At 57.4% G+C, this 25,762-nt stretch overlaps 1 protein-coding gene across 5 annotated transcripts in view, besides 3 other annotated features; it reads left to right on the top strand.

The window, feature by feature from the left end:
* Positions 1-25,762, top strand: part of BSN (bassoon presynaptic cytomatrix protein) — a 118,654-nt gene that overhangs the window by 82,415 nt on the left and 10,477 nt on the right. For 4 of the 5 annotated variants that reach the window (XM_047449150.1, NM_003458.4, XM_047449149.1 and 1 more), the window contains exons 3-6: positions 5,377-6,261; positions 13,721-14,188; positions 14,652-21,305; positions 23,595-25,671. In XM_047449150.1, coding sequence (XP_047305106.1) covers positions 5,377-6,261; positions 13,721-14,188; positions 14,652-21,305; positions 23,595-25,671 — 10,084 coding nt within the window. The remainder of the gene's footprint in view (positions 1-5,376; positions 6,262-13,720; positions 14,189-14,651; positions 21,306-23,594; positions 25,672-25,762) is intronic. The other variant, XM_047449152.1, reaches the window with a different exon arrangement.
* Positions 1,299-1,800: an enhancer, noted in NCBI's record as "H3K4me1 hESC enhancer chr3:49675623-49676124 (GRCh37/hg19 assembly coordinates)". NCBI's record gives its function as "activates a minimal SCP1, AML or CMV promoter by ChIP-STARR-seq in primed H9 embryonic stem cells {active_cell/tissue: H9 hESC(primed)}" and the evidence as "EXISTENCE:reporter gene assay evidence [ECO:0000049][PMID:30033119]".
* Positions 1,801-2,300: an enhancer, noted in NCBI's record as "H3K4me1 hESC enhancer chr3:49676125-49676624 (GRCh37/hg19 assembly coordinates)". NCBI's record gives its function as "activates a minimal SCP1, AML or CMV promoter by ChIP-STARR-seq in primed H9 embryonic stem cells {active_cell/tissue: H9 hESC(primed)}" and the evidence as "EXISTENCE:reporter gene assay evidence [ECO:0000049][PMID:30033119]".
* Positions 8,111-8,294: a silencer, noted in NCBI's record as "fragment chr3:49682435-49682618 (GRCh37/hg19 assembly coordinates)". NCBI's record gives its function as "represses an EF-1alpha promoter that drives an FKBP-Casp9 reporter gene in an ReSE screen in HepG2 liver carcinoma cells {active_cell/tissue: HepG2}" and the evidence as "EXISTENCE:reporter gene assay evidence [ECO:0000049][PMID:32094911]".

The raw sequence follows: 25,762 nt of genomic DNA on the forward strand, positions 1-25,762 counted from the left end.
AGCTGCCCTTCTGCACATCGGCCTGTCCTTGTTGTCCAGGGGGCATGGGAAGGTATGTTCCTCCTGATGAGACCTGGCCAGTGACTCATAGCCCAGAAAGGCATATAGTCACACTGGCCAGTGGGGCCCTCCCAGGAACCTCTAGATTTGGCACCTGCAGGGAGGGCTCCTTTATGAGCTGTTTCTGTGATGTTTCAACTTGTACCAAAATGGAAAGCATAAATGCGGCATCAGGCGTGATGTCAGTGCTGAGTGATCTGAAACACTGAATGCCTGCTCTCCCTGGTAGGGCTGGGGCTCTCCACAGGAAGAAGGCTGAGTGACGTCTGCAACCTTCCTTTTCCTTGCTGCTGGGGGGGTGAGAGGAGGCGAGTGGGAAGAGAACATGTGACTTCGGGGGGCTCTCAGAGCTTCCTGACAGCCATGGAGGTGACCGTGAGGTAGACTCCACCCTGTGAGCATCCTTTGGGGCCAGATATGGCAAGCAAGGCTGAGTCCCACCCTTGAGGGCTGAGACACTCTGTGCAGCCAGTGTTCCTGCAGGGAAGATGTAGAAGCTCTTCCCAGAACTGCCCTCCTTGCTCCAGAGCCCAGTGGAGGAATTACCAGGGAGTGACCATTGCAGACAGATCACAGCTGCTCATTCAACTTAGAGTTCATACAGCCTCCAGCTTGGGCCCCAAGCCTCTGGATCCTTGGCCAGTGCCACCTTAGCTGCCCTTCTGCACACTGAATAGTTTGAGTAAGGAAGCAGCTAAAAAAGACTCTTCTCAGGGAGAAAGTCCTCTCAGAGCTACAGAGCCCACAGGGTCCTATGTTTCCAAGTCCCTAGCAGACAGGTGGCAGTGGCTCCCTGCAAAGCCTGTAGGAAGGCTTCCTGCAGCTTCTGCTTCCCCCACCTCTTAAACCACCTCTTGACCTTGTACTGCACTGAGCCTTCCCATCCTTACTGCCACTTAGGCCCCCACTGGGTCGGGGTGCACGGGCTTCCATGGAGGTCCCTACCAGTCCTTGGAGATGGCAAGATGGGCTTCCTTGCTAGCAAGAAGAGTCAGCTCATTCAAAGCTAATGTCTGACAGAGCTGTCCACCTTAGGGTAGCCCCAGGAAGGCTCCTGAGACACGAGGCTCGTGGCTGGTAGCCTGCACATCTCCTGCCCATGTGCCAGATCAGGATCTTGGAGGTATTAGACAGCAGAACCCTAGCTGAGGCTTCTTGTCACACTGGTAAAAGGATAGTCCCTCTGATTCTGATGGAGAGCCAGCTTGGAGAGGGCCTAGGAGCCACAGGGAGCCTTCTGGGTTCAACCTCTTGATGAGGAGGCATCACTGTGTGCAGCTAAGGAAGGCTCTAACTGTACTGGCACTCAGGCCAGTGGAGTCTGCCACAGAACTATTCATGTATACCCAGGCTGGGTGGGCGGGTGGGTTGGGGTGCACAGCCATCATCTCTCTCCCTACCCCGTGGACAGCCTCCATCCCCCTGAGTGTGGGGATAGGGGCCTTGCAGTATGGAGGAAGAGACTGAGGTTGGGCTCCTCCCAGGAAACTGCTGGGGATCTGTCGGGGAGGCAGAGAGGGGGATGTATTGCTGGCCTCAGAGAGCTCCCTCAGCCAGTGTCCTCCTTAGGAGGCCTTGCATGCTGGGCCTGAGCCTGGGAGGGGCTGTGGGGAGGGTGCGGTCAAGGTTCCTTACCGTCTGGAAGAGGCTGGATAGAAATAGCTGCACCCATCTGGGCGATGAGTCACTGAGGGGCGTTTCAGCCTTTTCTTGGAGAAGTTCTATTTTAGGTGAGATGCCTGTGCCACAGCCTGGATGACAGGGGCTGGGGAAAGGAAAGTTCTGGCGGTGAGTGCAGGCGGTTTGGCACGTGCCTTTGTTCAGCCTGATTCAGAACCCCAGGGACAGTCACCCCAAAGTTGCAGGATAAGAAGCCTTACCTCCTAAATTCCCTTTCCCAGGAAGAAGTCTCACCTCAGGGCATGCTGCAGTGCCCAGGTGAATGAGAGAGATGGGACGTTGGGTGTGGGCTGGGCACCCACGGGAAGAACTGAATTTGTGGCTGCCACCCTGGGCCAGAGGCTGAGCTTCCCCTCTGAGGAGTAATCCCCTTCCAGGGTCCCTCTCTGGATGAGTAGAAATGGCCTGCTCTGGGGAACTCTCACTTTGATGGGAATAAGCCCCTCCCTCCCAAGAATGACCTTTCTAAAGAGGTCTTTAGACTGGGTTCAGGGACTGAAATTGTTTTCTCTCTGGCTTTCTCTACCCAAACATAGACAAAGCTGCCTTGCTTCTTTCTTTCTTTTTCTTTTTTTTTTTTTTTTTGAGACAGAGTCTCGCTCTGTTGCCCAGGCTGGAGTGCAGTGGCATGATCTCGGCTCACTACAACCTCTGCCTCCCAGGTTCAAGCGATTCTCCTGTCTCAGCCTCCCAAGTAGCTGGGACTACAGGCATGTGCCACCACACCCGGCTAATTTTTTCTATTTTTAGTAGAGACGGGGTTTCACCATGTTAGCCAGGATGGTCTCGATCTCCTGACCTCATGATCCGCCCGCCTCTGCCTCTCAAAGTGCTGGGATTACAGGCGTGAGCCACGGTGCACGGCCTGCCTTGCTTCTTAAAAAGCATTTGGGTGGGTTAATTGTTCCCAGCTAGTGGGATGGCTTCTCACCTCACTGCCTCGGCATCACTGTTCTTAGAGTTTCTAGAACTGGGATTGGCCTTTGGGGGGCTCTGCCAGGGTTTGCAGTGCTGACTTCTAGAGCCTGACTTGGCCTTTGGAAGAGGCAGGACTACAGAAGGCACCAGGCTCCAGGCTGTCCAGGCTGTGGTTTAGGAGCTACGCAGAGCTGTCAGGGCTGATCTTGCCAGCAGCAACACTTCCTAGCCAGGGAACCATTGAGAACACATTGCTAAAACATCTCAGATCTTGGTTTTCTCTCCTGTGAGGACAAAATGAGAGAATGCCTGTGAACATGCCCTATGTGGTGCTTGGCACAAGGGGGTGCTTGCCAAAGTGCAGTGTTCTCCCTCTTCTTGGCTGCTGCCCTTGGGTTGCTGGGATAAGGCACCTGAGCCCAGGTCCCCCAACTGGCAAGTCAACCTGTAGCAGTAGCCCTGGGGCCTCAAGGCAGAGAGCAGGGCTGGAGCCACGTGTGGGTAAATAAAAGGGGCCTTCTGCCCCAGAGATGAGACGGCACCTTCCCCTGGTGATGACTGGGTGGCCAATAGGGTGCATTTAGAACCTCTGGCTGCAACCACAGACAGAGAACAACCTTGGCCTCCAGCCTCAGCTCTGGTTGATGAGGAGGAGACTCTTCATTGAGGCACCAAATCTCGGGGCTTCCACCTTGTTGAGCTATGACCTGCATGACCAAATTGCCAGGATGAATGAAGCAAGCCCCTCTGGGATGAGCCCTGCTCTGTACCACATGTTGTGTGCAGCCCTGAGAACACCCTATCAACGAGAGCTCATGGGCTGCTTTGGGGCACAGAAGACACCTTGTAAACAACAAATCAGTAGACACTTTGGGAAAGAATAAGCACTATGGAGAAAATAAGCTGGGTGATTTGACACAGAGTACCCGGAGGGTGTTTTATTTTTATTTATTTATTTAATTATTTTGAGATGGAGTCTCACTCTGTTGCCCAGGCTGGAGTGCAGCGGCACAGTCTTGGCTTACTGCAACCTCCGCCTCCTGGGTTCAAGCAATTCTCCTGCCTCAGCCTCCCAAGTAGCTGAGATTACAGGCGTTCGCCACCACACCTGGCCAATTCTTACTATTTTCAGTAGAGATGGGGTTTCACCATGTTGGTCAGGCAGGTCTCGAACTCCTGACCTCAAATGATCCTCCTGCCTCTGCCTCCCAAAGTGCCTGGATTACAGGTGTGAGCCACCGCACCTGGCCAAAGGAGAGCATTTTAGATTGTGTGGCCAGAGGAGGTCCTGGTGGGAAAGTGTTACCTCATCTGAAATCTGTACAACAAGCTGGGCCAGGGGGCAGAGGGAATAAGGAGTACAAAGGCCCTGGTACAGAAATGAGCTCAGGGGACCACTTGGCAGAGCAGACAGCCTAGAGTGTCTGCAGTGAAACAGCCAAGGGGAGATGGCAGGAAAAGAGACCAGAGAGAGGGGGAGGCTGGGGTGGGGCTGGGTTGGGTCACAGAGTTGTGCTGAAGAGTTCCCAAGGTGTGGTGGAAATCCACTTAGAGTGTTTGATCCTATTGGTGAGATGCTCTGATTTACATGTGGGTTTTTGGAGAAAAATTATTGGGTCATGTAACTGGAAGTCCAAGGGTAGACTTGGGGCATAGCCAGATCCAGGGAATGGAATGAAGTCATCAGATCTACTCCTTTCTCCTTTCGTTGACTCCTACCATCTATGGACATCATTCTTAGCATCTCTCTGTATGTTGGGAAAGAAGACTACTGCTGCTGCAAAGCTACATCCTTCTGATTAGTAATCCAAAGGAAAACGAATAAAGACCCTCTCTCCTGTTGTTCATTACCAGATAACGTGGAGGGCTCTAACCGACTCTGTTTGCCAGGTCACGTGCCCATCCCTGCACAGGGCTAATGGCAGAGGGAAACTATGTGTTTATCACATGGATAGCGGCACATGTCTCGTTTGCTCTGGAGGCATGAATTATCCCACTTCTTTAAAAAGCTATCTTCCTTAAGGGAAAAAAAAAGGCTTTAAAAAATTCTACTTAACATCAGTCACTTACATTGCATTACTTTACCCTCGCTTATTTTGTTCTCAAGATTTTTCATTCTGTAGTATCTTGTTTCTTCAGCTAGACTCTAAGCTTCTTCAGGATAGGAATCATGGTTTCTTTTTATTCTCTATGCCTCCTTCTCCCACGTATTACTCTTCACTTATTTATTCATTATGTGAGTTTTTACTGAATACCCATTGCATATAAGCACTGCTCTAGGGCCATGCCTTTCCTCTTGGGTTAGGTTTTAAAAGATCAGTCTGGCTGCTATGTGCAAATGGCCTGAAGTGGGAAGCAGGGGAAGGCTACTGGGTTCATCCGAGCGGGAGGTTGGGGTGCACAGATCTGAGGCACTGCCAGGGGGTGGCGGGGAGGACTCTCAAGCAGGAGGGTCTGGCAGGCAGTGAGTTGGTGGTTGGGGTGGGGTGGGGGATGGGACTGCCTCCACTGCCTCACATGCCTGGCAACTCCTAGAGGGCAGGGGAGTGCCATCTGTCCTTCAGCCCTGCCACCTGGCAGCCCAGAAATGCCTGAGCAGGGCTTGGTGCTCCTGCCTGTGCTAGGAGTGGCCTTGGCTGCTGTGGGGCCTGCACTGACCTGGGCCATGAGTACTGCCAATCCTGGCCACCCTGCTGACTATTTTGCTTTTCTCCTCAGGTGAAGGAGTGGCTCTGTCTGAACTGTCAGATGCAGAGGGCTCTGGGAATGGACATGACCACTGCACCTCGCTCCAAGAGCCAGCAGCAGCTGCACTCCCCAGCCCTGTCTCCTGCCCACTCCCCGGCCAAACAGCCCCTGGGGAAGCCAGACCAAGAGAGATCTCGGGGCCCAGGAGGACCACAGCCTGGGTCCCGCCAGGCTGAGACAGCCAGGGCCACCTCAGTGCCGGGGCCTGCCCAAGCAGCTGCCCCTCCAGAGGTGGGGAGGGTGTCTCCTCAGCCCCCTCAACCCACCAAGCCTTCCACAGCTGAGCCCAGGCCACCTGCAGGAGAGGCCCCGGCCAAAAGTGCCACCGCAGTGCCCGCTGGGCTTGGTGCCACTGAGCAGACCCAGGAGGGCCTCACTGGTAAGCTCTTCGGCCTTGGCGCGTCACTGCTAACCCAGGCGAGCACCCTCATGTCTGTGCAGCCCGAGGCTGACACCCAGGGCCAGCCTGCCCCCAGCAAGGGGACACCTAAGATCGTCTTCAATGATGCCAGCAAGGAGGCTGGCCCAAAACCCTTGGGCTCAGGGCCCGGGCCTGGGCCAGCACCTGGAGCCAAAACTGAGCCTGGGGCTAGAATGGGTCCTGGATCTGGACCTGGAGCCCTGCCGAAAACTGGGGGAACAACCAGTCCAAAGCATGGCAGAGCAGAACATCAGGCAGCATCGAAGGCTGCTGCCAAGCCAAAGACCATGCCGAAGGAAAGGGCCATCTGCCCACTGTGCCAAGCCGAGCTCAACGTGGGCAGCAAGAGCCCAGCCAACTATAACACATGCACCACCTGCAGGCTCCAGGTGTGCAACCTGTGTGGCTTCAACCCAACACCCCACCTGGTGGAGGTAAGAGCTGGACCAAGCATGCTCCCTTGAACCTTGATGAGAGGCCGGGCCTGGGTAGTGAGTGTCATGGGAACCAGAAAGAGTTCTGGGTCTGCAGCAGCCATGGGGCTGCTCCTGTACAACTAATGCTGCAGAGGGGCTGCATTCCCTTTCCTGTCCCTACCTCAGGCCCCAGTTCTACTCAGAACTAACTTTCACTCAGAGTTGGGGGTAATGGTGCCTACTGACTCAGACTAGTGCCCTAAGGCTGATCCCAGAGTCCCTGAGCTGGCCTCCCCATTTCCAGCTACCATGGGCATGGCCCTGATGAAAGACACCAACCTCCCCTGCTCAGATAGGAGAACCTGAGGTCCCACACTGCCATGGACCTGTGACCTTCAGAGGGGTGGGGATCGAATGGCCATGATGCAGAGGGTTGCGTCCCACATCCAGGGTGGGGTGGGAGGCTTTCTCACAATGGGGCAGGGCATGTCCCACTGTCCAGGCTCCAGCCCAGCAAGGTGGTATTCAACCTTGATTGTCTCTTCTGAGGTCATAAGTGTTGACGTCTACTTGTCAAAGTCACAGCCTTTGGTCCACATGTTTTACCCAGGCTGGGGCTGGGCTCTCCTTAGAGCTGCTACTGGGGATGCTCAGAGATGCTTCTCTTTCCCACAGGAAGGTTTGAGACAGACCTGGGGTTGTGGCCATTCTCTCCGCAGCCCCTGCTCCAGGGAAGGGCACTGAGCACTGTGCAGTGCTAGGCAGGAGGGAGCAGGAGGCCCAGTGTAAGGTTCAGTGTTCCCTCGAAGCCTGGAGTCCAGCCCAAGAGGCTCAGAAGGTGAAGGTGCCCTGGCAGAATTAGACCAGCCTGGGCCAGGAGCAGATGCTGCTTCTGCTCCTCCCTCAGTCCTGTGGCCCACTCTCCCTGGCCCAGGGTCACCCATGTGACCCTTACCATGCTGCCTTGGGCGTAGCTTGGTGTGTCTCCTTAGAGTGCCCTCAGTCTTGATAGATGAATGTGTTTCCCAGCTGTGTCACGTTAGGAGATGTTCGAGCCAAGGCCCTGCCTCTTGCACATGGGGAGCCACCTGAGCCCTCTGGTCTCTTGGGCTGAGCCATTTGTAGCTGATGGTGGCACAGGGGTGTGCGGAGTGCAAACCACCACTGGCCCAGGATGGGACAAGAGAGGAGAGCATGATGTTGCCATGGCCTCTGTGGCACCTTGTTCTGACTTCCCTTGGGCCAGGACTCCACAGGAGTCCCCGTGGGACCCCAGCATGACTAGGAAGACTACTTTGGCCACCAAAGGCCACACTTTCCAATATGCAGGGAAGGGCAGCCCTGAGCAAGACAACTGACCTCCTCATGTGGCACCCATCTGGTCTTCTAGGCACCACGAAGCCAACTCTCCAAGCTCTAGATCTGGTGGCTCACTGGCGACAGTTTGCCTCACTGGCTCGGGGAAAGGGGTGCACCAGGGTGTCACCACAAGACTAGGAGAACCCTAGCTGGCTGCTCTGCCCAGAGACCTCCAGGCACAAGCTCACTGCTGGTCAGGTGGGGCACACTGACACTGAGCGACTGTGAGCCCCAGTGGACTTCTGAGTTGGCCTGGCCTGGAGGACTCCTGTCCCCAAGAGACCTCCCAGCCCACATTTCCTTATTAAGCAGAATGTGCACGAATGGGAGGGGAAAACTGTCTCTGTCCAGGAGCATAAATGTTCCTGACAGTTCCTCTTGGCCGTCCCTGGGCCAGGCCACGGGAAGTGCTGATTCTGCCCAAACAGAAGAGTTTCGTTCACACGCTGACTAGATGAAACGTCTGGATTCTGGCCTAGGCCTCTCATTAGCTGCTTGGTTCTGGCTATCCTGGACCCTGGAGCTTCTGTCTCTTGATGGCCGGTGTTCCCCCCATCACACCTCTCTCAATTTCCTGCTGTCTCCATGTCCTGCCCCACTGCCCCCTCCTTAGCCAGGACCACTCTCATCTCCATAGGGTCTGATGGGTCCCATGGGCCTGAAAGAAAGCTGGGGGATGTCCTGGTCCTAGTCCTGGTCCTACCTCATCCCCAGCTCAGGCTGCTCCTGACAGCAGTCAGGGGTGATGAAGTCTCTCTAACTCCTTTCTCATAGCTCTCCCTATCAATGCTGCTGTCCCCAGAGGGCCTGCAGCTATTCTAGGGAAGGTGTGGATAGGCGGCCATAATGCCTCTCCCATGATTCCCACCATAGAGACTGTACCACCATCCACCACCAGAGATGCAAGCCAGCAGCCCGGGGTCATCCTCACCTCCTCCTCTTTAACCTCTGCACCTGCTCCATGGACCAAGCCCTGCCAGCTCTGCCTCCCCACTGTCACAAGAATCTGGCCTCTCTCCCACCCATGCTCACAGCCTTAGTCCTTCCGTCCTTATCCTCCCTTACCCACACAATGACCAAAACCTCTGTGCAGCTTCACCTGCCTTGGGTCTTGCAAGGGGCTGGTGCTGATATGTTCACCATCCCTTCAGCATTGCTTTTCTTCACTGAGGCCCCTAACCAGGCTGTGGTCTGTCTTGGATCTCACCTCAGTCAATGGCCACTTGGCATCCTGAGCAATTTTGTGCTTCTCTGTGACCTACTTGGTGTGTTCTTGGTTAGAGGTTTCTGATTTCTCAGCACTTGCCAGAGACACTTACCCTGCCTTGGGAGTGTGGTGGTAAGGCCAGCAGGTCCTTCTCCAGGTCCTAAGGGTGGGTCTGCCATGGCTGTCTCTCTCTGGACCTTGCCTGCTTAAGAACGACTGTGCTGTGTCTTTGTGCACAAAGAAGGGACAGACCCGTGGAGCCCCCCTCATAGCTCCCACAGCCCTGTTAGACCTCCTGGGACTCCACCTGAGGCCACAGTCAACCATCTGGGCCAGTGGGTTGGGAATTTTCCCCATAGGTTGGAAATTTTCCTGAACATTTCTGAGCTGTAGAAATCTTTCTTCTTTCTAGATTGGGAGTTCAGAGCACACAATAGAGGAGAGAGTAGAATTGGATCCTTTTTCCTTTTGAACTTTCCTCTGAAAAAAAATAACCATAGTGCTATTTAGTGAGTCATTTCATAATTAAGAGTTGTTGATTCCAGTTTTTTTTACCTATTTGTCTTTTGGAAGGATAATAGTACTCTCTGGCTTAATTTTTAATTGACGTTCAGTTCAAAATAGAGTTTGTGAAGAAATTAGTTGAATTGGAATTGTGACAGTAACATTACCAGTCTCTTATTATATCATCATTGCCAAAATTCCAGCTGTGCCCTTGAGAAGTCGGGCCTCCCTGGGCAAAGTCCCTTGCACCTGTGATACATGGGGCTGGGCTTGCTCATTGGGGTAGGGGTTGCAGCAGGGGCATCAGGCCAGAGGTCCTGTTGCCTCCCATGTAGAATAGGGACCACAATACTCCCTTTTAGGTTTCCGTGAGAACCAGGTGAGATGCTGTACCTCAGATGCTTATGCAAGGCCTGACACAGTCAGCCCTTAAGCCAGGATTTTGGAACAGGAGTATCCTAAAAGAGGGTCTCTGTGTGAGAAAGGAAGCGTCCCCATGAGCCCCTATCTGGGTGTGGATGGACCCTGTGGCTGGTGTAAGCTTTTGGTATGAGGGATGCCCCACAGGGAACAAACACATTTGGTGCTGGGGGGTGAGGGGGTTACAGCCCAGCTACAAGGATACACACTGGGGACACCATGGTGGGTTTATTTTATGGGAGGAAGAGGCCCAGAAAGAAGGAGCTTAGGCATGTCCAGCAACAGGGAGGCTCAGGGTCGCAGAGTCAGGAGAGGAATAGCAGCACCAGTGATGGCCATCCCTGTGGTCCAGTGTCCTCCAAGATGACCCCTGGGCATCCTTTTCTCTGGAGTTCTCATTCACAGCCCCCTGGTCTGGCAGCAGGGCTGAGGGTGTTTAGGGCCAGGCAGCTGGCCATAGGGCATTGACTGGAACGGTGTCACCATAACCATACTGGCATGCAGGCCAGCTCCACACATGAAGAGATTACGTGGAATGTAGGTTCATTCAGATGATGGCAGACAGTGCAGGATCTGTCCTGGCTCACAAGGCACAATGGCCAGTGGTCCCAGAAGGCAGCAGCTCTCACGTGCCTAGAGGGCACCCCACTAACTCAGTCATCCCGTTTCCCCTTCTTTACCCTAAATAGTGATGCCCTGAACCACTGAGTGCCATCTGATGGCATACACACCTGCCTCTCCCACTGTTAGTTGATGATTGTCCTTGGGGAATTTGTATCTTCCTGCCCTAGAAAGGAACTGGACAGAGGGAATGAGGCAGAAGTAGTCATCAGAGCCACCCCATTATCCATCCCCTGCCCTTTTGTCAAAGAGGCCAGGCGAAGGGGTAAGCAGGCAGCACTTTCCCAAGGACTGGAGCTGGCATGGGCTGAGTGAGGCAGAGTACGAGAGGGCTGTGCAATGAATGGATGGCTGAATGAGGAATGAACACTGAAATTGCGGAATGGAAACGAGCGGAAGAATAAGGGAATGAATGATTGGGATGGAGGTAGGGGTATGTTGGGGTTGGAGAAAATGAGAATAGAATGAATAAAGGAATTGGGACCCCAGCTGTCCCAGCCCCCAGGCACAGAGATTCTACATGGCCTGCCTTCCACCCGATTCTCATTCCCCAGAAGACTTGGGCCTGGGCCAGGTCTCCCCTGGCTCTACTCCTACCAGCCCCAGTGCCCTGTACCCTTCTTCCCCACTCCCAGAGGGCTTGTGAAGGGCCTCCAGCAGCCAGGTCAATGTTTATTTTTAGCCCTTACTTCACACGCCTCTTCCTGCCTGCTCTCCCTTCCTCACTGCCTACTATAGCAGAGCCAGGAGCAAGAGGGCCTGCCAGGCAACCTGCAACCTGGCTGTCTCCATGAATAAATGTGTGAAGGAGCAAAGCACCAGGGAGCATGTGACCACAGGTAACATCTCTGCTGAGAGCTGGGCCTCTGGGCTCAGGCAAGCTGGCCTCTCCAGCATTTGGTCAGAGCACTTAACATTAGGTCTGCTTCCTCCATCCAGACTACCCTTCCAAGGTGACTTGCTTCATTTAGACTGTTGCTTCTGTGTGGGGTTCGCAGGCCAGAGATGGGGTTAGGAGTTTGCCAGGCCACCAAGGTGGGCCAGGGCAGATATCCAAACTTTGAGAGGCCTAACATGGGATGGGTGTGCACAGGGCTCCAAAGTGGAGTTAGGGCAGCATTGCCTTGGGCCAGCCCACTGGGCCTAGATCCTAAACCCATCATGCTGACCATAGGGCTGGGGAAGGGGCTGTTTGATCATTTCCAGAGCTCTCTCTCTTGATCTCTGCCTATAGCCCTGCCATCTCTCCAGGGTCATTTTGCCATCTCACAGTCCTTTCTGACATGGGGGAATTTCCATTGTGTACACAGGTGATGCTGGGGGCATGTGAGCTAGGGTTCCTGGATCAGGCTCTGTGCTCTCCCATGTCCTGTTCATCTGGGGCTCGGTCTCAACCTATCTGTATTTTCCCCAGGCACCTCTGGGGGTGCACCCTGCCAGGCCAAGTGAGCCCAGGGCCTGGCCAGTGGCCAGCACTTACTGCCTTGTGGGGTTTTGTGTGGAGACACATTGAGCATCAGATAAGGTTCAAGGGAGTCAGTAGTGGTGTTAGGGCTGGGCTGTGCAGAGAACAGAGTGAGTATATGTATGTAGGGCATCTAAAGGGTCCCCCTCCACAGCTGGGCCACTGCCCCATTCCTCTGCCTGGGACTTGTGCATGAGGTTGGGCCTCGGGGAAGAGCAGAAGCTCCAGTGGGAGAGAAGCAGTCTCGACCCTGAGTAACCAGCCTGGGGAGCAGGCCTGTCCCTCAACACACACCAAGGCCCTGCCACCTGCCCAGCCTAGCCTCTGCTGAAGCCCAGAGCAGAGAAGTGGAGTGTAGCTCTCTGTGGACAGCAAACCAGGGCAGAATCATTGACATGTTATCTGCCATGGTGGCCCTAGGATGCCAGGCTAAGGGCAGGCACCCTGGGGGTACCAGGCTTCCAAGGCTGCCAGAGGCAGCATGTGAAGTGAGGGTACTGAGGTTGTCAGCCTTCCTGGGGGTGGCAAGGGCCAAAGGTCACCTCCTTTTCCAGTCCTCTGGCTCTGTGACCTTGTGGTTCTTATGGTCCACCTCGGTGGCAGAGTTGCTGGTGGGAGCCTGTATGTCCAGGCACCTGGGATGAGTGAGTTCCCTGCAGGACGGATGGAGCACTAAGGCTCTGCGCCACAGAGTAAGAACAGGCACAGGTGTCTGTGGGACCCTGCTCTGGGCTCCACTGTAACTCTCATTCTCCATCCCATGTGGGCCAGAGAAGGACTTCAAATCCTGCCAAGGAGGAGCCCTGACTCTGGAGGAGGCTACTGGGAGACATGCCCCTGTCAGCCTCAGACCTGCTGCAGGAATCACCCATTTAGGCCTCAGAGATGCCCAAACCCTATGCCTGTACAAAGCAGCTGGGGCTGGGAGACATGGACTTCGCTTCTTGTGTTCTGGGGGCTTCACCATTGATACCTGTGTCATACTTGTAAATGACCTGTTTGGGGTTGTGGGCTCCAGAAAGGCTGCATGCCAGTGCCTGTCTGTCTGCTGAGTCATGGCTGTCTTCAGCCCCCAGCACTGGGCCTGAAACAGTAGAGGATCCTGAGAGTGGTGGACTGATGGTTGAGAATTTGATCCCAGTCCAGCTCTGGAAGGAGCAGGGCCCCTGACACAAGGGCCACCACACATAGTCCCCATCAGAGGAACAGTCCAGAGCCCTGGGGGCAGGAGGAGGCCTCTACCTGAGGGTCTCTGCTGGCCTTAGACAAGGTGACTTGGGCTGGGGATTTGAGCAGGGAGGACTGCTCAGCCCCTCTGTCCTCCACCAAGCAGGGTTACTCCCAGACAGCCTCCCCTGGCCCCAGGAGTCTGCACCCTATCTAGCATAGCCCTTACCTGGGAAAGAGTGTGGGGAAGGATGGAGTCAGACCTGAGAGCTGGGAGGCAGGGGAAGCATAGTGCCTCCAGGAAGTGCTCCATGCTTGGATGCCACTCCTCTTCCACAAGGGTTCTCAACTGCTGGACTCCATACCAGCCCACTAGGAGCCGTTTGCTCCCTCAGATTGAGACCTCAGCTTCCCCTGTGCTTAGGGCTAGGCCCTCCCATCCCCCACAGTTCTCCCCCTTTTCTGGCCTGGTGAAAAGTTCTCTGTGGGTTAAGGAAAGTACTCTTCTTTGGGGTTGTTACTTGCATTCTGACTTTGTGTGTGTTCATCTTAAAGGTAGGGGAATTTGTTATTTGGGGGCAGTAAATTGGTCAGTCTTTTTCTCCTTATGTCTTTGGTGTTATGCTTTGAAAGTTCTCTCCTCCCTAAGGTTACAGAAATAGTTATGGAAATATTATTTGAGGACTTCAGTGTCTTTTTAATTTTCATCAACCCCCTCTCCCATTTCCTTGCAGAAAACAGAGTGGCTCTGTCTGAACTGCCAAACCAAGCGGCTACTGGAGGGCAGCCTAGGAGAGCCGACCCCCCTGCCGCCGCCCACCTCACAGCAGCCCCCTGTAGGGGCCCCTCACCGTGCATCTGGAACATCCCCTCTGAAGCAGAAAGGGCCACAGGGGCTGGGCCAGCCTTCAGGCCCCCTGCCTGCCAAGGCCAGCCCTCTATCCACCAAGGCCAGCCCTCTGCCCAGCAAGGCCAGCCCCCAGGCCAAGCCCCTCAGGGCTTCTGAACCCAGCAAGACCCCAAGCAGTGTCCAGGAAAAGAAGACCCGAGTCCCCACTAAAGCTGAGCCCATGCCGAAGCCACCTCCAGAGACTACCCCAACCCCTGCGACTCCTAAAGTAAAGAGTGGGGTGAGGAGGGCTGAACCTGCCACCCCTGTCGTCAAGGCTGTTCCAGAAGCCCCCAAGGGTGGGGAGGCGGAGGTCAGTCCCATTCACTTCCCAGAGACCCTAGCTTTCAGACAGGACAGTCTATGGAAAGGCTTGCCTCCCTGGGTGGCTGAGGCTGTAGGCTCAGGACAGGTGCCTTGGGGCCACACAGGAGGGAAGGGACACAGTAGAAGGAAAGTCTAGATGAGGTTCTGGCACGCTTGGAGACTGTGGGTTTTACACTGGTGCTGTGTCTGGCACCTTGTCAGATGCTTTGCTGGGTTTTGATACCCTTTGATCTAGTAAAGTTTCTCTTTGAAGACCAAGGGCTGGTTTGGGCTTGCCATGGAACCTTCAGGTTATTCAAGGCCAGAAGGAGATAGGGTGGGTGGCGGGCCCTAAACCCTTGGGAAATGGACAGACTCTTCCCCAGGGTCCTGGGATTGACAGGGAGGATTGGGTTCCCACCACGAGCTTTGCCATGGGGAGTCAGTGTCTGCTTTTCACCCTGCTGCAGGACCTGGTGGGCAAGCCTTACTCTCAGGATGCGTCTCGGAGCCCACAGAGCCTCAGTGACACAGGCTATTCCTCTGACGGCATCTCTAGCTCCCAGAGTGAGATCACAGGAGTCGTGCAGCAGGAGGTGGAACAGCTGGACAGTGCAGGGGTGACAGGGCCACATCCACCCAGCCCCTCCGAGATCCACAAGGTGGGGAGCAGCATGCGGCCTTTGCTGCAGGCCCAGGGCCTGGCCCCAAGTGAGCGGAGCAAGCCACTCTCCAGCGGTACTGGCGAGGAGCAGAAGCAGCGGCCCCACTCCTTGTCCATCACGCCTGAGGCCTTTGACTCTGATGAGGAGCTGGAGGATATCCTGGAGGAAGACGAAGACTCTGCTGAGTGGAGGCGCCGGAGAGAGCAGCAGGACACTGCCGAGTCCTCAGACGACTTTGGCAGCCAATTGAGGCACGACTATGTGGAGGACAGCAGTGAGGGTGGCCTGTCCCCTCTTCCACCCCAGCCCCCAGCCCGGGCAGCAGAACTGACTGATGAGGATTTCATGCGACGGCAGATTCTCGAGATGAGCGCCGAGGAAGACAACCTGGAGGAGGATGACACTGCCACCTCCGGGCGTGGCCTGGCCAAACATGGCACCCAGAAAGGTGGCCCCAGACCCAGGCCTGAGCCTAGCCAAGAACCAGCAGCACTGCCCAAGAGGCGCCTGCCCCACAATGCCACCACGGGCTATGAGGAGCTGCTCCCTGAGGGAGGCTCAGCAGAGGCTACCGATGGCAGTGGGACCCTGCAGGGTGGGCTCCGTCGCTTCAAGACCATTGAGCTCAACAGCACGGGAAGTTATGGTCATGAGTTGGACCTGGGCCAAGGCCCAGACCCCAGTCTGGACCGGGAGCCTGAGCTGGAGATGGAGAGCCTAACGGGCTCCCCTGAGGACCGCTCCCGTGGTGAGCACTCCTCTACATTGCCTGCCTCCACACCCAGCTACACCTCGGGCACCTCTCCCACCTCTCTGTCCTCCCTAGAGGAGGACAGTGACAGCAGCCCCAGCCGCAGGCAGCGTCTAGAAGAAGCAAAGCAGCAGCGCAAGGCCCGGCACCGCTCCCACGGGCCCCTGCTACCCACCATCGAGGACTCCTCAGAGGAGGAGGAGCTGCGGGAGGAAGAGGAGCTGCTTCGTGAGCAAGAGAAGATGCGGGAGGTGGAGCAGCAGCGCATCCGCAGCACGGCCCGCAAGACCCGGCGGGACAAGGAAGAACTGCGGGCCCAGCGGAGGCGAGAGCGCTCCAAGACACCACCCAGTAACTTGTCACCCATCGAGGATGCCTCCCCGACGGAGGAGCTGAGGCAGGCGGCCGAGATGGAGGAGCTACACCGCTCCTCCTGCTCTGAGTACTCACCCTCACCCTCCCTTGACTCTGAGGCTGAGGCCTTGGATGGTGGCCCTAGCCGGCTTTACAAGTCAGGCAGTGAGTACAACCTGCCCACCTTCATGTCCCTCTACTCACCAACCGAGACACCCTCCGGCAGCTCCACCACTCCCAGTTCCGGACGGCCGCTCAAGAGCGCTGAGGAGGCTTATGAGGAGATGATGCGCAAAGCTGAGCTGCTCCAGAGGCAGCAAGGCCAGGCAGCAGGGGCCCGGGGACCCCATGGCGGCCCCTCTCAGCCCACAGGCCCCCGGGGCCTGGGCTCCTTCGAATATCAAGACACTACAGACCGTGAGTATGGCCAGGCTGCTCAGCCTGCCGCAGAGGGCACGCCAGCCAGCCTGGGAGCAGCCGTGTACGAAGAAATCCTTCAGACATCACAGAGCATAGTCCGCATGCGGCAGGCCTCCTCACGAGACCTGGCTTTTGCTGAGGACAAAAAGAAGGAGAAGCAGTTTCTAAATGCTGAGAGTGCATACATGGACCCAATGAAGCAAAATGGTGGCCCCCTTACCCCTGGTACCAGTCCCACCCAGCTCGCTGCCCCTGTGTCCTTCTCTACCCCCACCTCCTCAGACAGCAGCGGGGGCCGAGTTATTCCCGATGTCCGTGTCACTCAGCATTTTGCAAAGGAGACTCAGGACCCCCTCAAGCTGCACAGCTCTCCTGCCTCCCCCAGCTCAGCCTCCAAGGAGATAGGCATGCCCTTTTCCCAGGGCCCTGGGACCCCAGCCACCACAGCTGTGGCTCCTTGTCCAGCTGGGCTGCCACGAGGATATATGACTCCAGCCTCCCCAGCAGGCTCCGAGCGTAGTCCTTCACCATCTTCCACAGCCCACAGCTATGGACACAGCCCAACCACTGCAAACTATGGGTCCCAAACTGAGGATCTACCCCAGGCCCCCAGTGGCCTTGCTGCAGCTGGACGAGCTGCTAGAGAGAAGCCCTTGAGTGCGAGTGACGGTGAGGGTGGCACTCCTCAGCCTTCCCGGGCATATTCCTACTTTGCAAGCTCCAGCCCACCTCTCTCCCCGTCTTCCCCCTCAGAGAGTCCCACATTCTCCCCTGGCAAGATGGGCCCAAGGGCCACAGCAGAGTTCTCTACACAGACGCCAAGTCCAGCCCCTGCCTCAGACATGCCACGGAGCCCTGGTGCCCCCACTCCATCACCTATGGTAGCCCAGGGTACACAAACACCACATCGACCCAGCACGCCTCGCCTGGTGTGGCAGGAGTCCTCTCAAGAGGCTCCCTTTATGGTCATCACGCTGGCATCTGACGCCTCCAGCCAGACCAGGATGGTACATGCCAGTGCCTCCACCTCCCCGCTCTGCTCACCTACTGAAACCCAGCCCACCACCCATGGCTACAGCCAGACAACACCTCCGAGTGTGTCTCAGCTGCCCCCAGAGCCACCTGGGCCACCTGGCTTTCCACGGGTGCCCAGTGCTGGTGCAGATGGGCCCCTGGCACTATATGGCTGGGGTGCCCTCCCTGCTGAGAACATCTCCCTGTGCCGGATCTCCTCTGTCCCTGGGACGTCTAGGGTTGAGCCAGGCCCCAGGACCCCTGGCACTGCAGTGGTAGACCTCCGTACAGCTGTCAAGCCCACTCCCATCATCCTCACTGACCAGGGCATGGACCTCACCTCTCTTGCTGTGGAAGCGAGGAAGTATGGTCTTGCCCTGGATCCAATCCCAGGACGGCAGTCGACCGCCGTGCAGCCCTTGGTTATCAACCTCAATGCCCAGGAGCATACCTTCCTTGCTACTGCCACCACCGTGAGCATCACCATGGCCTCGTCTGTGTTCATGGCTCAACAAAAGCAGCCTGTGGTCTATGGAGACCCCTACCAGAGCCGCCTTGACTTTGGCCAGGGTGGGGGTAGCCCTGTGTGCCTGGCCCAGGTCAAACAAGTAGAGCAGGCTGTCCAGACAGCCCCATACCGAAGTGGGCCCCGGGGAAGACCCAGGGAGGCCAAGTTTGCCAGATATAACCTACCCAACCAAGTAGCTCCTCTGGCCAGAAGAGACGTTTTGATCACTCAGATGGGCACCGCCCAGAGCATTGGCCTCAAGCCAGGCCCAGTGCCAGAGCCAGGTGCCGAGCCCCACCGGGCCACCCCTGCAGAGCTGCGGTCACATGCTCTGCCAGGTGCCAGGAAGCCACACACAGTGGTGGTGCAGATGGGAGAGGGCACAGCAGGCACTGTGACCACACTGCTCCCAGAGGAGCCTGCGGGTGCCCTGGACCTTACCGGGATGAGGCCTGAGAGCCAGCTGGCATGCTGTGACATGGTCTACAAGCTCCCCTTTGGCAGCAGCTGCACTGGCACCTTCCACCCGGCCCCCAGTGTGCCTGAGAAGAGCATGGCAGATGCTGCCCCACCTGGCCAAAGCAGCAGCCCCTTCTATGGTCCCCGGGACCCTGAGCCTCCTGAGCCCCCAACCTACCGGGCACAGGGGGTGGTGGGGCCTGGGCCCCATGAGGAGCAGAGGCCCTACCCACAAGGCCTGCCTGGTAGGCTGTACTCCTCCATGTCTGACACCAATTTGGCTGAGGCTGGCCTCAACTACCATGCCCAGAGGATCGGGCAGCTCTTCCAGGGTCCTGGACGAGACTCGGCTATGGACCTCAGCTCACTGAAGCACTCCTACAGCCTGGGCTTTGCGGATGGACGCTACCTAGGGCAGGGCTTGCAGTATGGCTCAGTCACGGACCTGCGTCATCCTACAGACCTTTTGGCTCACCCGCTTCCCATGCGGCGCTATAGCTCAGTGTCGAACATCTACTCAGACCACAGGTACGGCCCACGGGGAGATGCAGTTGGCTTCCAGGAGGCCAGCCTGGCCCAGTACAGTGCCACCACAGCCCGTGAAATCAGTCGCATGTGCGCTGCCCTCAACTCCATGGACCAGTATGGTGGGCGGCATGGCAGTGGTGGTGGTGGCCCTGACCTTGTGCAGTACCAGCCCCAGCACGGGCCCGGGCTCAGTGCTCCACAGAGTCTGGTTCCCCTCAGACCTGGACTCCTTGGTAACCCCACCTTTCCAGAGGGCCACCCAAGTCCTGGGAACTTGGCCCAGTATGGGCCTGCAGCAGGCCAAGGAACAGCAGTCAGACAGCTGCTGCCGTCCACAGCCACTGTACGTGCAGCTGATGGCATGATCTACTCGACTATCAATACCCCAATTGCTGCAACACTGCCCATCACCACCCAGCCTGCCTCAGTCCTGCGGCCCATGGTGCGTGGTGGCATGTACAGGCCTTACGCATCTGGTGGAATCACAGCCGTGCCACTCACCAGTCTGACACGTGTGCCCATGATTGCCCCCCGGGTACCTCTTGGACCCACAGGGCTGTACCGCTATCCTGCACCAAGTAGATTTCCCATTGCTTCCAGTGTTCCACCTGCAGAAGGGCCTGTCTATCTGGGGAAACCTGCTGCTGCCAAGGCCCCTGGGGCTGGGGGCCCTTCAAGGCCAGAGATGCCAGTAGGGGCTGCACGGGAAGAGCCTCTTCCCACAACCACCCCTGCTGCCATCAAGGAGGCTGCAGGAGCCCCAGCTCCTGCCCCACTAGCTGGCCAGAAGCCACCAGCAGATGCTGCTCCTGGGGGTGGCAGTGGGGCCCTCAGCCGGCCAGGGTTCGAGAAAGAGGAAGCATCACAGGAGGAGAGGCAGCGGAAGCAACAGGAGCAGCTGCTCCAGCTAGAGCGGGAGCGGGTGGAGTTGGAGAAGCTGCGACAACTTCGGCTGCAAGAGGAGCTAGAGCGGGAACGTGTGGAGCTGCAGAGGCACCGTGAGGAGGAGCAGCTGCTGGTGCAGCGGGAGTTGCAGGAGCTGCAGACCATCAAGCACCATGTGCTGCAGCAGCAGCAAGAGGAACGCCAGGCTCAATTTGCACTGCAGCGGGAACAGCTAGCGCAGCAGCGTCTGCAGCTGGAGCAGATCCAGCAGCTGCAGCAGCAGCTGCAGCAGCAGCTAGAGGAGCAGAAGCAGCGGCAGAAGGCTCCCTTTCCTGCAGCCTGTGAGGCACCTGGCCGAGGGCCTCCCCTAGCGGCTGCTGAGTTGGCCCAGAATGGCCAGTATTGGCCCCCCCTTACACATGCAGCCTTCATTGCCATGGCAGGGCCTGAAGGACTTGGGCAGCCTCGTGAGCCTGTGCTGCACCGGGGTCTCCCCAGCTCTGCCTCAGACATGTCACTGCAAACGGAGGAGCAGTGGGAGGCCAGCCGTAGTGGCATCAAGAAGCGGCACTCCATGCCACGCCTGCGGGATGCCTGTGAGCTAGAGTCTGGGACTGAGCCCTGTGTGGTCAGGAGGATTGCCGACAGCAGCGTGCAGACAGACGATGAGGATGGGGAGAGCCGCTACCTCTTGAGTCGGCGACGCCGGGCACGGCGGAGTGCTGACTGCAGTGTGCAGACGGACGACGAAGACAGTGCTGAGTGGGAGCAGCCAGTGCGCCGCCGCAGGTCTCGTCTTCCCCGCCACTCAGACTCAGGCTCTGACAGCAAGCACGATGCCACTGCCTCATCATCCAGTGCTGCTGCCACTGTGAGGGCCATGAGCAGCGTGGGCATCCAGACCATCAGTGACTGCTCCGTGCAGACGGAGCCTGACCAGCTGCCCAGGGTCTCTCCAGCCATCCACATCACAGCTGCCACCGATCCCAAGGTGGAGATCGTCAGGTACATATCGGCGCCAGAGAAGACTGGGCGTGGGGAGAGCCTGGCCTGCCAGACGGAGCCAGATGGGCAGGCCCAGGGTGTAGCCGGGCCGCAGCTTGTAGGGCCAACTGCCATCAGCCCCTACCTGCCTGGCATCCAGATCGTCACCCCAGGGCCTCTGGGCAGATTTGAAAAAAAGAAGCCAGATCCCCTGGAGATTGGGTACCAGGCCCACCTGCCTCCGGAGTCTCTCTCACAGCTTGTGAGCCGCCAGCCTCCCAAGTCCCCTCAGGTCCTCTACTCACCAGTCTCACCCCTGTCCCCTCACCGGCTCCTGGACACCTCCTTTGCTTCCAGTGAGAGGCTGAACAAAGCTCACGTGAGTCCCCAGAAGCACTTCACGGCTGACAGCGCTCTCCGCCAGCAGACGCTGCCTCGCCCCATGAAGACCCTGCAGCGGTCCCTGTCTGACCCTAAGCCCCTCAGCCCCACCGCCGAAGAGTCTGCCAAAGAGAGATTCTCCCTCTACCAGCACCAGGGGGGACTGGGTAGCCAGGTATGGGAACAGGGGCTGTTCCAGGGTGGGACAGGGGTCTCTGCCTAGCCCGAGGGGCCCCCACAGGGAGGGGCTTCTTCTGGGGTGGGAGTAGAGGCATCTCTGGCCCCAGAGGCCCAGGGGAAAGAGTCAATGAGCAGATGCTCCCTGGTGCACATCTGAAAGAGCCTGCAGCCCGGCAGACAGCCTGGCAGATACAGACACACACATGGGCCCCCACAGCCTTCCAGCCACATACCCTACTAGAAGCTTCAGCCTCCTCCCAGCACTGTCCCTTCACCACCCACACCTGGTCCAGCCCCTGCTACCTCCCCCTTTAGGCCTCTTCAGCTCTCACTTCTAGTCTGGACCCCTTCCACTCCAAACTTAATCTATGGGTGTTTCCTAAGAAAATCAGTCATATGAACCTGGCGCGGCTGCTCTCGTCCTCTCAGTCCTGGCCTGGTTTCCATTGCCACACAGGAAGCCCACACCCCTATGGCCTAGCACTAGAGGCCCATCCCAGCGGGCTGCAGTGTGCTCTCTGCCCCAGGGTGTTCTCTGCCCCTACCTGGCCCTCGGTAAATCTGTTTACACATCTGTCTGCTCCCCTAGATAGGGGATTCAGAAGCATAAGCTTACCCTTGGTTGTGGCTTTATTTGCCAGTGATGGATGGGGACTGTGAGAAGTGGCTTGGCTGTGGGCTGCAGCCAAAGTGAGAATAGAGGGTTGTGAGGGCCTAATGCCAACAACTGAGTGCCAGGCTGAGGAGGATGGGCTTTTCCTAAAGACCCTGGAAGCCTCTGGAGGTTTTAGGCATGTGAGATGGGACAAAGCAGATGTTTTGGAAAGTTTCCTGGGCAGAATGTGGGAGGGTGGGCTGAAGGAAGAGACCTGGCAGAGGAGGCAGGAGCCAGAGGCATCGTAAGGTAGATTTGCCCATTTTCAGGGTGTGACACAGAGACGAGAAAAGTGGAGCCTTAGAATGGGGTTTGTGGAGGTGATAATCTTGGGTAGTGAAGTCTTGGTGTATGCAGGCCATATAGGGGTGTGGGTGGGATCAGGACTCTAGGCTGGCAGGGAGGGCAGGTCAGAGAGGCAGGGTGGTCCTGGCTGCAGGCACAGAGGTCCCATGGGCTGGCCATGTGAGACCAGGCCATGATAGGCACTCATGATGCGTGGCCAAAATAAGAAAAGAGACAACAGAGTGAGGGGTTCAAAAGGCTAAATTTATTCCATAAAAGGCCCACCCTGAAATTTTGAGGGCACACTATAATTTTTATTATGACATATGGTGGATGTAGGTGGGAGGTTTTTAGGTAGTTACTTGGCAAGGTAAAAAGTAAGAATCCTATAGGAGTCACTTCCCAGTATATATTGGAATTTGGGTGGTCCATGAAACCCAAGGGCATGGGGCATTCTGGGAAGGCTAGGAGCGAGAGAAAAAGGGAGAAGACAGAGTGAACTACCAGGCAATGTGGACCTTCAGGCAATGCAGAGTGTCTAGGGTAGGCAAGGAGGACCCCATGGTAGGCACTGTTAGGGAACCTTGACCAGGAAGCCATGCTGCTGGAGGTAGGGCTGGATAGGACTTACGGGTGCACTGGTGGCTCCAGAGAACAGCAGGTTGACCGAGGGACATGGAGGGAGCTGGGGACCAGGCCAAGAGCACAGCCCAGAGGGTTTGGCAGAGGGCAGTGCAGGGCACTAGAGGAAGAGGGTGGGCAGGCAGCTGAGGAGCCTTCCACTTTAGAGAGGACTAGGGCAGGATGCAGAATGACTCAGAGCCTGCCACGATTGGCATACAATCTACATGTGTCCCTTCCCATGATCCTCTAGGGAGCCTGGCGGGCCCAGGACCCTCTCCACTCCATGCCTCCTGTTCATACTCCACTGATCTCAACCCCTGTCAGCTGCTAGGCCCCAAACCCAGAGCCACAGCTGTACTCTTCTTACCTCAATGTGAGGCAGAGGGTGGCAGGCCCATTGGAGATGTGCAGGGGTTCTCAAAGCCATGTGCTGGGCCAGTACAGGACATTGGCATGAAGGGAATCTGCCCGTACCCTCCTGCTTCCCAAAGCTCTGGGAAAGAGAAGGGCTGTAAAATAATCACAGATCTTCCCTCTATGGCAAAGAAACCAAGGCCTATGGGTGGGCAGGGTAGGCCTCCAGGCTGCCTGGTAAATCAGGGCACCAGCAAGATGGAACCCAGCTCCTTCCCCAGCCCAGGCCTGGGTTCTGCCACCCCACACCCCATCAAGTCACCACACCTTGGGTCTCAGTGCTGCCCACCCTTCCCTCTGTCTCAGGTGTCGGCGTTGCCACCCAACAGCCTGGTCCGCAAGGTGAAGCGGACACTGCCCAGCCCCCCTCCAGAGGAGGCTCACCTTCCCCTGGCTGGCCAGGCCTCCCCACAGCTGTATGCAGCCAGCCTGCTGCAGCGAGGGCTGACGGGGCCCACCACTGTCCCTGCTACCAAGGCCAGCCTGCTCCGGGAGCTGGACCGGGACCTGCGGCTGGTGGAGCATGAGTCCACCAAACTGCGCAAGAAGCAGGCAGAGCTGGATGAGGAGGAGAAGGAGATTGACGCCAAGCTCAAGTACCTGGAGTTGGGTATCACACAACGCAAAGAGTCTTTGGCCAAAGACCGGGGTGGCCGTGACTACCCACCCTTGCGTGGTCTTGGCGAGCATCGTGACTACCTATCGGACAGTGAGCTCAACCAGCTGCGGCTCCAGGGCTGCACCACTCCCGCTGGCCAGTTTGTGGACTTCCCTGCCACTGCCGCTGCTCCTGCCACCCCCTCTGGTCCCACTGCCTTCCAGCAGCCCCGCTTCCAGCCTCCAGCCCCACAGTATTCTGCAGGCAGTGGTGGGCCAACTCAGAACGGATTCCCAGCCCACCAGGCCCCCACCTACCCTGGCCCCAGCACGTACCCAGCTCCTGCCTTTCCTCCTGGTGCCAGTTACCCAGCTGAGCCTGGCCTGCCAAACCAGCAGGCTTTCCGCCCCACAGGCCACTATGCAGGCCAAACACCCATGCCAACCACACAGAGCACCCTTTTTCCAGTCCCCGCTGATAGCCGTGCCCCACTGCAGAAGCCACGCCAGACATCGCTAGCCGACTTGGAGCAGAAGGTGCCCACCAACTATGAGGTGATCGCCAGCCCCGTTGTGCCCATGTCTTCAGCCCCATCTGAAACCAGCTACAGTGGCCCAGCAGTGAGCAGCGGCTATGAGCAGGGCAAGGTCCCTGAGGTGCCCCGGGCTGGTGACCGTGGCAGTGTGAGCCAGAGCCCAGCCCCCACCTACCCCTCTGACTCACACTATACCAGTCTGGAGCAGAACGTTCCTCGAAACTACGTAATGATTGATGACATCAGTGAACTGACCAAGGACAGCACCTCTACTGCTCCTGATAGCCAACGGCTGGAGCCCCTGGGGCCAGGCAGCAGTGGGCGTCCAGGGAAGGAGCCTGGAGAACCAGGTGTCCTTGACGGGCCCACACTGCCCTGCTGCTATGCCAGAGGAGAAGAGGAATCTGAGGAGGACTCATACGATCCCCGCGGGAAGGGTGGCCACCTCCGGAGCATGGAGAGCAATGGTCGACCAGCCAGTACCCACTACTATGGTGACAGTGACTACAGGCATGGGGCTCGAGTAGAGAAGTATGGTCCAGGGCCCATGGGGCCCAAGCATCCCTCCAAGAGCCTGGCTCCAGCTGCCATCTCCTCAAAGCGCAGCAAGCACCGGAAGCAGGGCATGGAGCAAAAGATATCCAAGTTCTCGCCTATTGAAGAGGCCAAAGACGTAGAGTCAGACCTGGCGTCCTACCCCCCACCTGCAGTCAGCAGCAGCCTGGTCTCTCGGGGCAGGAAGTTCCAGGATGAAATCACCTATGGGCTCAAGAAGAACGTGTATGAGCAGCAAAAATACTATGGGATGTCCAGCCGGGACGCAGTGGAGGACGACCGCATTTATGGCGGGAGCAGCCGGTCCCGGGCACCTTCTGCATACAGTGGGGAGAAGCTGTCCAGCCACGACTTCAGTGGCTGGGGCAAGGGGTACGAAAGGGAACGGGAGGCTGTGGAGCGACTTCAAAAAGCGGGCCCCAAGCCCTCATCCCTAAGTATGGCCCACAGCCGGGTACGACCCCCCATGCGGAGCCAGGCCTCTGAAGAGGAGAGCCCCGTCAGTCCTTTGGGGAGGCCCCGCCCTGCCGGAGGGCCCCTCCCTCCCGGCGGGGATACCTGCCCACAGTTCTGCTCCAGCCACTCCATGCCTGATGTCCAGGAACATGTCAAGGACGGACCTCGGGCCCACGCATATAAGCGTGAGGAGGGCTACATCCTGGATGATTCCCATTGCGTGGTTTCCGACAGCGAAGGTAATGGCAGCCAGGGGTGATTTCTGCGGATACTCAGCAGCTGGGGGGCCTGCCTACCTGTGGGGCCCTGGGCCCTAAGATGTCCCAGCAG

Source organism: Homo sapiens, chromosome 3, assembly GCF_000001405.40.
Source record: "Homo sapiens chromosome 3, GRCh38.p14 Primary Assembly".
NCBI classification, from domain to species: Eukaryota; Metazoa; Chordata; class Mammalia; order Primates; family Hominidae; genus Homo; species Homo sapiens.